Genomic DNA, 13,619 nt, shown 5'->3' with positions numbered 1-13,619 from the left:
AATTTGCAATTTATGAGCCCTGCCCGATGTAGGCAGGACTAGTAAGATTAATGCAAAAAATAAAAGGCTCAAATATAAAGCCATAGAACTCTCACACAGCCCCATTTATGTGGATTTCTGACATTCCAAATCATTACAATTATATGAACGATCTTTCATGACTGGGTCATCAAAATAAGAAAACAAGCAACCTTCAAACCCTCAAACCATGAAATAAGACTTAGTACAATACTTACCAGGGCAATCCAAAGTACAATATATTCATCAATAAAGCTGTTAAAATACTGGTCCAGAAACAAAAGTGCCGGACCTATGAATGCTGTGTCATGCAAATGCATTTCACTTTTCGTCATGTGTGCAACCTATGAATAAAACAGAATAACGTAGGCATTTTCATAAGAGGACAATTGTGAACTACACAGTAAATCATATTGTGCTCAGATATCAACTTCCAATAATTATTTAGGAATAGCTGTTGAATTCCCAAAACTAAAAACCCAACAATATGAAATGCGTCTGAGAAAGAAAGGGATGTATCATGTCAACTAACCCTACAAAAGATGCTTTTCACAAGAAGCCTTAATTTGAGTGTCCAGATTGAGACTGAGAATGTAAATAAACTGAATAACCAAATTAAACAGTGGATAAAAGGGTAAAAAGTTGTATGTTTTCCAAGAACTTCCAGTAACTTCAAATTGTAGCTTCACAAAAGAGTAAAAATAGTTCCCATGTTGATATCAAGAGATTCTGATTAGAAGAGGGCAAACTCTAGGACCATTTATGAAGCTACAGAATGAGAACTATAGCCATAAATCCAAAATAAGATGAAAGTGAAAAACACAGCAAATAAAAACTCAGGTGCTTACCACAAGCTTATTAGTGATTTTAGCAGACACAAAACCAAATGTCAGTATATAAAGACAGGGATGCTTTTCAAAAAGCTGAACTGCAGATTTCTTGTAGATCATTGCAGCTAATGTAATCACTGATCCAATATGGAGAAAAGGAGAAAGGACACTTGTTCCCTGTACAGAGTGAAGAGAAGAGTTAATAGTATTCAGTACTCATCAGATACTACATGGATCTGCTGCAGAACAGTTCACAGTTCAACTCAAACTTTCAGGAACCTCATGGTGCCTGATAGGCAGCAATTTCTATAAATCACAAACTAGAAGAGCTAATGAAAAGTAGCAGCATAAATTCATTAGGCACAAACTGAGGATTTCACTTAAGAGACCAGGCTTATTTTTACAAAGCAGCTCATACTTTAAAAAACATGTGAATAAGTGTGTTTGTGTGTGTGTATGCATAAAAGTATGAATATATAAAGCATATAAATGTGGGTAAGTATATATAAAATTGAAGTTTTGAACATTAGTTTCTTTAAAGGCTAAGTATAAATTATAAATTAACAAATGATTTTATACATTTGAAATAAAAAACAAAATGACAACAAAACCAAGTCCTAGTGTAAACAAGTGTTGAAAATCTTAAGGTATACTTACTGCTATTGTTGATCCATTTTTGCCAACACCACCTGTGAAGATTACACGGAAGTAATTTGTACAGGAAAATATGGTCCCTGCTACAGTACAAAGTGCAGGAAAAATTTTCATTTGAATATTCAGCACTGGAATCTTTAATGGGTAGAGAGAGAAAACAATTAAAACATATACAAACTAAAATAAGAAAACAGTCTAATATTTGATTCATATTCCCAAAAACTTTCCATTCCCTCCAATTACATAAATACGTAAAGTAATGAAAGTGTCCTTTTCCTCTTCATTATAAGCAATATAGCAAGTCTCAAGAGTTGAGACTATTTAGAAATTAATCTCACTTCAGCCATCAACCTTAAAAAAAACAAAAAAACCAGATTCAACTTTATTAACTTGTGTCACAAGCTAAGTTAGATTCACCTAATGCATCCCAGTGGTCTTGCAACAGTGAACCAGGATGTGTTCTGGCCTTTTAATAAAAGGAGTGCACCCTGCCTTTTTCCTTGTATATGTTTTTGAATTCTACCTCTAAATCTGTAGAACATTCATAATTGTTGTGAGGAAGTATGAATCATAATAGAAATGTTGCGACTAGATATAAAAATCTGCAGAGTATAGAGAATGGAAGATAAAATTTCTATTCAGAAGAGTTCCCAACTCCAAATTGTTAGGATACAGGCAGCTAGTAAAAGCAGAAGGCAATTAAGAAGGCATTCACAATGCAGAAGAAAAAACAGGTCAAGTACATTCAAACAGATTCTACTATTGTGCATACAAAATTTTGAAGTTTAAATGTACTTTTCAGAAAAGTGAATAATATATTCATAAAGTATACTGAAAATGTGTTTATTTACCTGAAGTATGGGGGACAGAGTGGATTGATGTCATGCATTTTTGCAAACACAATATCTATCATTTAAAATGAAATACACTTGTACTGAATTTTAAAAATCATTTAAGAGTCTCTTCTTTTTCGCACCCCTCCCTTTAAATTTTGGTCTCAAATTTTGTCCAATATGGATTGAAAAGAAAGCAACAGTAAAATAAATGACGTAGTCTAGTAATAGAAACAAATGATTATAGAAACAAGATTCCAAAAGCCCCCAGTGGTTTAATAAGCCATGAGTTCTTACAATGAAAAAAAAAATTTTTTTTTTAATTGAGACAGAGTCTTGCTCTGTCACCCAGGCTGGAGTACAGCGGTGTGATCCTGGTTTACTGCAACCCCCGCTTCCCGGGTTGAAGTGATTCTACTGCCTCAGCCTTTTGAGTAGCTGGGATTACAGGCATGTGCCACTGCGCCCAGCTAATTTTTGTATTTTTAGTAGAGATGGGGTTTCACCATGTTGGCCGGGCTGGTCTCGAACTCTTGACGTCAAGTGATCTGCCAGCCTCAGCCTCCCAAAGTGCTGGGATTACAGGTGTGAGCCACCATGCCCGGTCACAATGAAAGCATTTTAATTAGGGCTGTTTACACTTTGTATGGCTAACATCTATCTACACTTTTAAAATCAAATAGCAAATGTGGCACTTCCTACTATATAGAAAACCTCAGTTAAGACTGGAAGACATAAATCTTAATGGTTGGATACTTTATTTCTTCAAAACTCTCAAGAACTCACTTTGTTGAGATAACTCTGTTACCTCTTGCAAAAATGCAGCTCTAAAAAAAATTGAAATCAAATGTTCAAGTTTAAATTGTACTGTAGCAGTGTTAAATTTTCTAAAATTAACTAGGTCAACCTAGTTCTAAAATTAACTAGGTCAACTAAGTCAAGTCCTAAACTTTATGGATTATCCTAAATGGTTATCTTCTCCCCCTAAATCTCCAACCTCTACAGTCTAAGTTCAAAACTTGTTTTCAAGAAAGGAGAAAATCAACACCATGGTTGCTTTGAACTCCAAGAGATTTTTCTGCTCTTGTTCAATAAACTAGGGACATTACATTCTCAATCTGATGCACCTGGCTGAAACTCAATACTGTGGCTAGTTTCCTGGTTCCCAACCTCTCTTCCCACCCCTCCCACTTTTGACTCCATAGAGACAAAAGATCTCTCTGGCAAAAGGGAAAATACTATACTTCCCTCAGATTCCAAAAGAAGCAAAGCATTATTCTATTACAGGGACAGCCCTGTATTAGGGCCAGGGTACTAAATGAGTACCATCTCTGTATAATAGTCATCTGTGTCATAAATGAACTGAATGAGAGTCATAACTGTATTTAAAATTTGGTGAAATTGCTTTGGGATCATAAAAATTGTTGCCCTTTGAAAGAAGAATAAACACAAACATTAGAAAAGCCAGGAAAATTAGTACATGGCTTGGACCACAAAGTAAGGAAGCAAGCTATTGACCTAGGCGCAAAGTATCATAGATTCTTAAGGTTTTCATCACTTTTGTCATATATGTTAGCTATATACACCAAAACATAAGCTCCTGAGTGTTGGATTTTGTTTGAATTGATTTTGTACACTCTCTAGAGCCCTGGTTATTGTAGGTGGCTCAATACACATTTGTTAAATGAAGATTAAAATCTCCCTTTCTCTTCCTTTCTATGTAGAACTCCTGTTTTGGGAGAGTATGAAGAAACATCTAGCCCCCACATTAGCAATGAAAAAGAAAGTGAGCTACCAAGAAAATATGAGGCAAAGTGAAGGAAAAGCTCGAGTCAAAGGAATCCCAAGTCTCACCAGGTGATCCTTTAAAAATTGGCACTACTTATAAAAAACACAAAGTGTTGCCATTCTCACCCCACGCTTAAGATCAAGGAGGGTGGCACATTCTCTCTCTCCCTCAAGTCAAAAAGAACAGGCACATTCTGTCTTTCCCAATCTTTTTCTTTCTGTCATCATCTTGGAACTTATCAAAGGTGGCCAAAGTGCATCCACTCTTTAGAAATAGCCAAAGAGCTATACCAAAGACATCTTTATGTCAGGTCTGCTTGAAGTTTCAAGTCTTTAAGAGTTGGGAAGAGTAAGAATTCCTTTGGACCATGGTGTCTGTCCTACAGCCAGGTGAAAACTCTCCAGACTCATACCATGAAGGTATGCATCCAAATAATAACAATGTAATGAAATTCACTTTTAAAAAGGTTAGACATAGAAAAAGAAAATCTTAAATTATCAGTATCTTTACCAGATTACAAAGGTCATGTTTTTTGGTTCAATAGTTTGTATTAATGCAGACTAATATCAGTTAGTAAATTTTGACTAGTTTTCTTATAAGCATGATAAAATGTCCTTACAGGCTTTGTACATCAGAGCAGAAATAAAAAGTACCATTTTGAGATTAGACACTTTCCTCCAAAGAATGTGGGAATGCCTGTTTGTAAATCATTTTAATGTAAATGAATTCCACCAAAATACAGCAAATGTTAACATAATTACAGTGTCTACAAAGGAAAATCACCCTATCAGAATTATTTAAGTGTAAAGGCATTTTAAAGTCTTGTAGTTCAAGAATGAGATATAATCAATTTATACTACATAGAACGTCTTCAGTCTGACCAAATGAATCCTGAAACCTCACCTGCAGTAGTAACACTCACCTAGTTGCCTTAACTGAATTCCAGAAAGTCCCTTATGGCTTAATACAATTTGATCAATTACTACATTTAAAAGACTCAAGCATCAGTAAAAGTAACCATGAGTTGATTATATTAAGTCTCTTCCAAATAAGAATATATTCTTCTTTGTTTTTTTTAAAGAGTGATATGATAGAACATAGTTCCAAGGCATTCTAAAAGGAATGTCTTTTGGGGAAGCAACAAACAAAAAATATGCTTTTTGTTTCTTGCAATGTATAAAACAAGCACTGACTTTTATGCATGAAGACAACTGCTTTCCTTTGGAAAAAAAAAAAAGGAAAACCACAACAACAACAATAACTATAATCTTTGGTAAAAATTCATCTCTTTGGGGAAAAAATTTGGGAAAGAATGGGTAATCCATATGTAATAGATGCAAATCACTTACCTTTACAAAACAGCTGATCTTCTGGAATCAGCCTTATGAAGACATCTGCACTGTTTTTATTTGTTCTGACCATAAACTTGCTTTCTAAATGTCAGTAAAAGCCTTCTAACTTAATGAGGATTTGGAAGGCAATTTCCATTTTATGGCCTCAATCTCAGAAGAGATGTAAATTTCATACCTGAACCCTAAGTAAATATCTTTTCTCCATTTGGCACACAAAAATGTGAGAGCTCAATATGTAGTATTTGTTCCTGTATTAACAGAATGCAATTCAAAACAGCATATTCAGTAATGAACCCTTAATGCTAAGTAAAAAGAAAAAAATAATATAGTGATCTGGGGTCAATTATGGGAATCCGTATTGGGAGTTGTTAAAAAAGAAAAAACAGAATATTTCACTAAGTCTCCAAATATATCACCAGAGAAGTCGGGTTGTTCCCTTTTGGTTTAATGATGCTAACAGTAGGACCAAAGTGCTAACAATAGGATGAAGGGGCAGGGGGAGAATCTGTTTTCCCGTTGCAACCTCACCTCATGAATCCTGAAATTAGATTGCTAGTTTACTGGGTCTGGGAACTCCATTTCAGATGTGAATCTGAGAGTTCCTCAGATAAAACATATAATTTAAAAAGGATGTTTATATTAATTACAAGACAGGACAAAACATTTGATCTTTATAAAAGAAAAAATTATATCTACTATGTACATGTGTAGATTATATGTATAAATCATAATGGAAAAAGGTAAAAAGTATACCTGAAGGAATTTACTACCAGGCATCACCTAAGAAATAAGGATATGTATATAACGTGCACAGACAACTTCATTTACAATGTTTTATGCATTTCCATATTTATAACAAATAATTAGGCACACAGGTTGAGCATCCCTAATCAGAAAATCCAAAATCTAAAATGCTACAAATCCCAAAACTTCTTGAGTGCCAATGTGATGCCACAAGTGGAAAATTCCACACTTGAGCTTATGTGACAGGTCGAGGTCAAAACGTAGGTGCACAAAAGTTTATTCAGCATCCCCAAGGGAAAAACGACCCTCCCAGCCCCCTTCATAGCTGCAATATATCTTTGTGCACAGACCCATATCCTGTCACGTAAGTACACCCACAAAGGGTAATAAAATGGCATTGTGCAGGCTGGACATTCCAACAACAGGTTCTCCCCAATGCCCGACATGGGGCCAAGAACTAAGTGCATTACTGCTTTTCAATTTTGTTTTTGTTTTTTGCTTATTCTCTGCTGTGTGGTATAAAGATATTGTTGAAAATGTCAAAAAGGACTGCAGATACTTTTTTGGTTAATAGTGATAACATACAGGTATTCTGGTGATGCTATTGTGCTGCTCCACTACCCTGAATACATTATCTTTTCACTGATATGTCTTATTTTTTGCTAAATATATCTACGTGTAAATAAGTGTTAGAAAATGATTGCTTAACAGTAGTATGTAAATTCAGAGTCAGGAGTAACACTGATGCCAAACCACAGATTATCCACATGGGTGGCTAAGATAGTAACACTTTTGCTTTCTGATGGTTCAATACACACACTTTGTTTCATCCACAAAATTATTAAAAATATTGTATAAAATTACCTTTGGGCAATGTGTATAAGGTGTATATGAAAATAAATTTCATATTTGGACTTGGTATCTCAAGATACCAAGATATCTCATCATGTATATGCAAATATTGTAGAACTTGAAAACATCTGAAATCTGAAATACTGGTCCCAATAATTACAGACAAGGGATACTTAACCTGTATAAACCAAACACTGACTTGTTTTCCAATAATCAAGCCAGAAATCCCACTTTTTGGATATTGGTATGCTGAAACTTTATGTACAACATATTACAAATAATTTTGGGGGGAAAACTTTGGTATACAAGGCTTATAAAAATAATAATCACCATAGTCAAGGGATATAAAAACTTTAGGAATGGGGGTAAGCTTTAGGCTTTATGATCTGCTTTCAGGAAAACAAAAACTATTATTTCCTTCCCATAAGGCAAAACTGTTATTAAAAAAAAGAACTAGTCTACTGAAGAGCAAAAGTAATAAAATTCGTATTTCCTACACATTAGTCTCAAAAGCCAATAGGGTCTCTATAGTGAAATCTAAGATACATAACTGAATGATATTATGTACATAACTGAATAGTTTCAGAATTTTCCCAGTTGACTGTGGATTATTTTTATTCCTTCATCTCCTCCCCCTTCACAGATTCATCTTCCCAACAAAAGATACTTAACAATTCATTTCTGGCAATAAATACTGTGGGTAGTGTATCAATTACACTTCCTCAAGCACCTAATTTTCCATCATAAAGTGAGTTAGGTAAGGGAAAAATGTTGCTCAGTAAATTTCCCTTATACTTTAAAATTAATCTGATTTTTAAGAATTGCATTAATTTAGGTCTAGTAAATCTTTTCTTTGTTAAGATTTCACCAAATGAATGATAAATACTGTATTCTGAAGGGGTGATGGTAGAAATCGGCAATTAACTGATGACCAGGGGAGTACATACCATGACAACCCAAATCTGAAAGAATACATTAAAACTATAAGAGCAGCAACAACTTTTATTGAGTGCTTATTATTTGACAGGCACTATTCTAAGTGCTTTACACAATATATTAACTCCTTTAATGCATAAAATAACTTTATGAGACAGGTACTACTAATGACCTCATGTTACAGAGGAGGAAACTAAGCCAGAGAGAGTTACGCAACAGATTAAGTTCACACAGTAGGCCATGGAACCTGGGTCAAACGCACACAGTCTGGTTCCAGAGCTTGTGTTCTTGGCCTCCATATTTTACTCCCTACCTCAGAGGTTTGTGGAAAAGAATCTGTGTTTGTAAGAGTGACTATATTTCAGGTAGACCTGGAAATCAAGGTCCAAGCTCGTTCAAACAATCCCATGGCACTGATTTCATTCAACAGGTATTTATCCTGTTTTGGAACCAGAGTTAACTTACAATCTCAAATTTGTTATTCAGCTTTAAGTATATGACAGAAAAACTAGTAGACTCATGTAGTTAAGAAAGAGAATAAAAGGTCTAATTTAATCTTGTCACTGGTTAACTTGTTATACTGTCTGCTGTTTCCTCATCTGTAAAATGGGATAACAATACTAATTCAGATTCTCAATGGCCTTCAAAAATAATAGCCCTGGAATAGTCCTAACGTTCTACATAACTTCAAGTAGTAAAATTCACCATCCTCTAAAGAGAAGTTGTGTTCTACTGTTTGGAAAAAAATAAAAGAATTTCACACATTACCCTTTAACTGGATTATCCCATATTAGAAAACACAAGCAAAAGACAACATGCATTACATGGGATACACAATGTGAACAAAGTTACCATAGATTGCCAAAAAGGTGGTCCTCCAATCACTGCCAGCAAATGCATGATTATTATGAAGATTTGCACTTCAGTCACATCAATTCTGATTAGGTACAAAAAGCCAAAAGAGCAGAATTAGTCACAACAATTTCAAGTTAATTACTTGCAAGCTTAGCAGCATTCCTCTATCATGCACAATAGAAAAAAAAAATCTCAAATATTGAGGAAAGGGGAAAAGGAGGCATCAAAAATTTGTTATGAGCAAAATCATATAAAATCCAAAGCCTTTTAATTTAATTTGATGAATTTCAAAGAGCAATAAAAACCCCTCCTTTCCAAAGGAAATTTCTGACTCATTGAAGTTGGGCTGAAACCATAGGTTAACCTTTCCCACCAAAAAAAAAAAAAATTGAGGAGGTATTAAATTTTGAGTATCAAGCAGAGGATTACATTGCACTGTTATAAAATATGAAATCTTGAAATAAGTGCTTTGTAGTATCAGATGAAATAAATGGTGTGCTTTAATTAAAGTTAACATAAATCACTAAGACTCTGTAAAACTTACTGTTCTTTAGATATATTCATTTAATGTCTGCCATTGTATAGGTGTGAAAAAAAAAACTCCTCCAGTTCTCAAATTCCTATTCTTACTAGGTTAACTACTCTGAGACTTCTGCAAAGAAGATACTGAAAGCAGCCAAGAATTAGCTTTGGGGTTGCTGAAAATAATTTTACAGTCAAGAAGAGACAAACCTCATGCACAACAGGGCAGCAGAAATTAGAAGCCTGAAAGTGTGAAAAAAAAGAACATGGGCAAAAAGATTGAGAAGCAAAACATATGCTGTTTTTCCTTTCCTCTTGTAAACTTAGCACCTTCTACAATTTTGAGATTATCATTCTTAGATTACTGGATTCAAATGCCTTCTATTTTGAGAACTTACCCTACAGATATACTTGCACAAAATGATGTTTGTACAAGGTTATTCACTATGGAATTATAAATTTATAATAGCATAATTTAAAAAAATTCCCTCAGAGGGAATAGTTATATAAATTATGGTACTTCCATAAAATAGAATATTTTACAGCTTTTAAAAAGAGTAGGGCAGCTCTCTATATACTGATATAAAAAGTAGCAAAGATATAGTAAGTGAAAATAAGTTGCAGAATGTGTACAGGCTATTTTTTGTGTAAAAAAAGAGACAAATAATATTCTACTTTTATTTTTGCCAGTAATTGCATAACAAATTTCTGGAAAGACACATTACAAACTAAGAGTGGTGGCTACCTATTGGGGAGTATAGTATAGAAACTGGGGAGCTGGGAAATAAGAATGAGGAGACTTTTCACTGTATACCTTTTTATAATGCTAGTTTTTCAACAAAGTGAATAATTTATCTATTAAAAGTAATTAGTCTAAAAGTAGGTAACAACAGCAAAGGGATTCAATTCCCAGAACAGAACAGAGCCTCCATTTCTAAAAATATGTAAAGCAGATAATCTGTAATGTGAGTTTAAGATACATAAGCTGTCATGCTGTGATAAATAACTGGGTTGAAACTAATGTCTTGCAACTAAAAAAAAATGGGTCTTTGTTTGCCCAAGAATGTTTTTTAAACAGAAGCTTATTTAGCTGCAAACATACAGTGATGTAGTTATCTTGATATACACATTGAAAAAAAAAATGGACTGAATTAGGCTAAAAAGAATCTGTAGAGCTGACCTGGTGAGTGGTGTTGCCAATAAGGGGAATTACACTCAGTAGCAGATTCAGGAGACTAAGCAGGTAGGTGTCAAAGATGATCGATTCTGTCTTGGGTGGAGGAGGGTAGACATCTTAGAACATTTTGCTGGATATATGAAGTAGCCTTTTGGAAGGGGAAGGGCCAGAAGTATAGAATTACAAAATAAAAATGGAGGGAACCTCATGCAATTAATCTTTGTACCATGGATGAATATAAAAGAGAACAGGAAACATAAAAGATCTTTACAAAGTCTCAAATTGGGATTCTTAGGGCAAGTTTTATAGAATAGTCATTTGAAACTTTTGACAGAATTTTCTTAACCATTCTAATACTGACATTGTATTAGATGAATAATGTCTTACTGTTATGGAGAGAGGGCCAGGAAAACTTACTTACCAGTTGGTAGTTAGTTAAGAATATTTTTTATTTGCTTATCTGATTTAGAAGAATATTCTGAACTCCAGGATGAGAATCTTCTGCTCTGAATCATGAGAACTGCCTATCATCACTCCTGGAAGTGTGGTTCTAATCTTTACTGTCAATGAAAAAGGGTGCATGCAGTGCAAAGTCATTCCCAGGAATGGGAACTAAAGCAAGCTAAGAGGGACAGGTGGTAGAAATGATAAACAAGAGTTTATGATTTTGTTTAGAAGACAGCTAGTTACATGACAATCCATTCTTCCACCTTTCCACTAAGAAGTCTCAGTATGGGCTCAATTTACTGTAACACATACTACAAAGAGGCTCATTTTAATCTTTTTGATCATACAGGAAATACAGTTATTTAGAGGACAGAATATTATATAAGGGCAGGGATTTGGCATGTCTGTAATCACTTCCTTTTTATTGTTATTATTATTTTAAAAATGGAGAATCGTCAGTGGTAATATTCCCAAGTGTTGGGACTATTCCTCAAAACCAAAACAAAGAAACTGACCACTACTACCACACCAAGAAAAAAACAACAAAAAACAAAACCAAAAAACCCTTCAAGACACATGGGGTATGTGGTCAAAGAGGACCCAAATGCCAGTGATTTTTTAACAAAACATATGGGAAAACAAATTTCTTATGTGTCGCATTAGATTTCTACAGCCTAAAGTTGTAGAGGGAGAAAATTAAATGATACTAACCACAATTTTCTATATCTATGAAGGTACATGAACATCTTGACTGGTGCTGCTTTAAAATAATCTCCTGGCTGGGCGTGGTGGCTCACGCCTGTAATCCCAGCACTTTGGGGAGGCCGAGGCAGGCGGATCACCTGAGGTAGGGAGTTTGAGACCAGCCTGACCAACATGGAGAAACCCCGTCTCTACTAACAATACAAAATTAACAGGTGTGGTGGCGCATGCCTGTAATTCCAACTACTCAGGAGGCTGAGGCGGGAGAATCACTTGAACCAGGTAGGCAGAGGTTGTGGTGAGCTGAGACTGTGCCATTGCACTCCAGCCTGGGCAACAAGAGCAAAACTCTGTCTCAAAAATAAATAAATAAATAATTTCCTATTTCTACTTCATTTTAATATAGGTCGTCAAAAGACAAAAAAGAATTCTCCCAGTTACTGGGGATAACCCATAATGAATATTCTCATCAGGATACACTTAAATTACTATGACAAGCCAGAAACAAACACTGTTTTGATGGCTGTCACAAAAAATAAATAAAAAGAAGCAAACCATTCATCTGATGTGGAAGCTATAAATTTGACAGTCTGAGGTCAAAATAACCTTCAACGCCCGTAATAAACTTTAGGCCAATCATTCCTTACAACACCCTAATGGTCAACTGATTAAGAGAATAAAGTGTACTAAATGAATATGAATAATTTAAACTTTTAAACAAGGGAACAGAGCATCTCTTTAGTTGGAGTGACTATCTCAGGAGGTCTTCGTCACTACAAAAAGCTTAGAAAACTCCCTGATCAAGGCAGTTATTACATCAGAAGTGCAAAATAGCTTTTAAAATGGGGTAGAACAACTGCAAAGTAAGTTAGCTAACTATGAGAAAAATTTCTATTTTGAAAGTTTCCATTTTTGTTTATCAGTGTTCAGAGAGACGCCTGACAAATGCATTTGGTTTGAATACCAGAACTCAGTTTTAATTGAGGGATGTGAAGGGATTTAAATGGCATTCTATGAAAGCTAAGCACATTAATCATCTCTCCCACAAATTTTTAATGTCTTTCCCCTCTAAAATCAGAAACAATCTATTGTTCTTCTACATGTGACATATGCATTTCAAAGATACACTTGCAGTTATTTTGTAAGTATTTTTGTTAAACTATAAATAGTAAATTTAATTGTGTTGTAGTTTGGCAACACAATTGTTTATATTAGTTTGGTTAACATAGGATATGCACTAGGGATAAATTCACAATGTCAAAGAATCCCCAATTTGTACAATTTGACCTGTGAGCTATTGTTAAAGAGAAGGATTTTGTTTAAAAAAATCATCTATTTGAAGACGTCTAGATTCTTACTCAAGGATTAGATAGCTATTAACTCCAGGTTTATAATTATCTGTAAAGGGATTTGAAGCTCTAGGTAACTTATGGATAACCAGAGCATGACATTCATTATAGATTCTACCAGAAATACCATGGGTGGGGTGAACTGTTGGTGGACTGAAATAAAGATTAGCCTAGAAATTCAATATACTGACTTTGAATATTTTACTTTCTACCCTTGATAAGGGACAAACTGGACATGGTAATCTTAGTATTAAATAACATTAACCATACAACTGAGAGATAACTTGGAGTATTTTTAATTCAAGTGTTATAAATTGGGAAAACAGACAGCAAGACAAGTCTATTTTTGAAATTAAGCTTAATTATTAAAAACACATTACCTACCACATGAATGACTATATGGATCTTCAGACTTTCTGAGAAGACTAAAAAGAAAAAGCCCATTGAATAACTCTGAGTAAGAAGAGAAAAATATAGCCAAAGGCTAGAATAGAACAAGCCCTCTAATATAAAAAGAAGTAGAGTATAGGTCTTAAATTTAAAGGGCAGTCTATCTTTA

The 13,619-nt window shown here is 34.4% G+C and overlaps 1 protein-coding gene across 9 annotated transcripts in view; it reads right to left on the bottom strand.

Annotated features, from left to right (window-relative positions):
* CEPT1 (choline/ethanolamine phosphotransferase 1) overlaps positions 1-13,619 on the bottom strand; it is a 45,606-nt gene that overhangs the window by 1,281 nt on the left and 30,706 nt on the right. For 4 of the 9 annotated variants that reach the window (NR_138483.2, NM_001007794.3, NM_001330743.2 and 1 more), the window contains 4 exons: positions 8,861-8,945; positions 1,506-1,637; positions 867-1,025; positions 237-362 (listed from right to left, as the gene is read on the bottom strand). Coding sequence is in view for 6 of the 9 variants with exons in the window: in NM_001007794.3 (NP_001007795.1) it covers positions 237-362; positions 867-1,025; positions 1,506-1,637; positions 8,861-8,945 (502 nt within the window). In the remaining 3 variants the exon portion in view is untranslated. Of the gene's footprint in view, positions 1-236; positions 363-866; positions 1,026-1,505; positions 1,638-8,860; positions 8,946-10,565; positions 10,711-13,619 lie in introns of those variants that run through there. The other 5 variants (NR_138485.2, NR_138484.2, NM_001410844.1 and 2 more) reach the window with 3 other exon arrangements.

The sequence above is a fragment of the Homo sapiens genome, chromosome 1, assembly GCF_000001405.40.
Source record: "Homo sapiens chromosome 1, GRCh38.p14 Primary Assembly".
NCBI classification, from domain to species: Eukaryota; Metazoa; Chordata; class Mammalia; order Primates; family Hominidae; genus Homo; species Homo sapiens.
The sequence above is the reverse complement of the archived record's forward strand: the minus strand, read 5'-3'. Positions and strand labels throughout refer to the sequence as shown.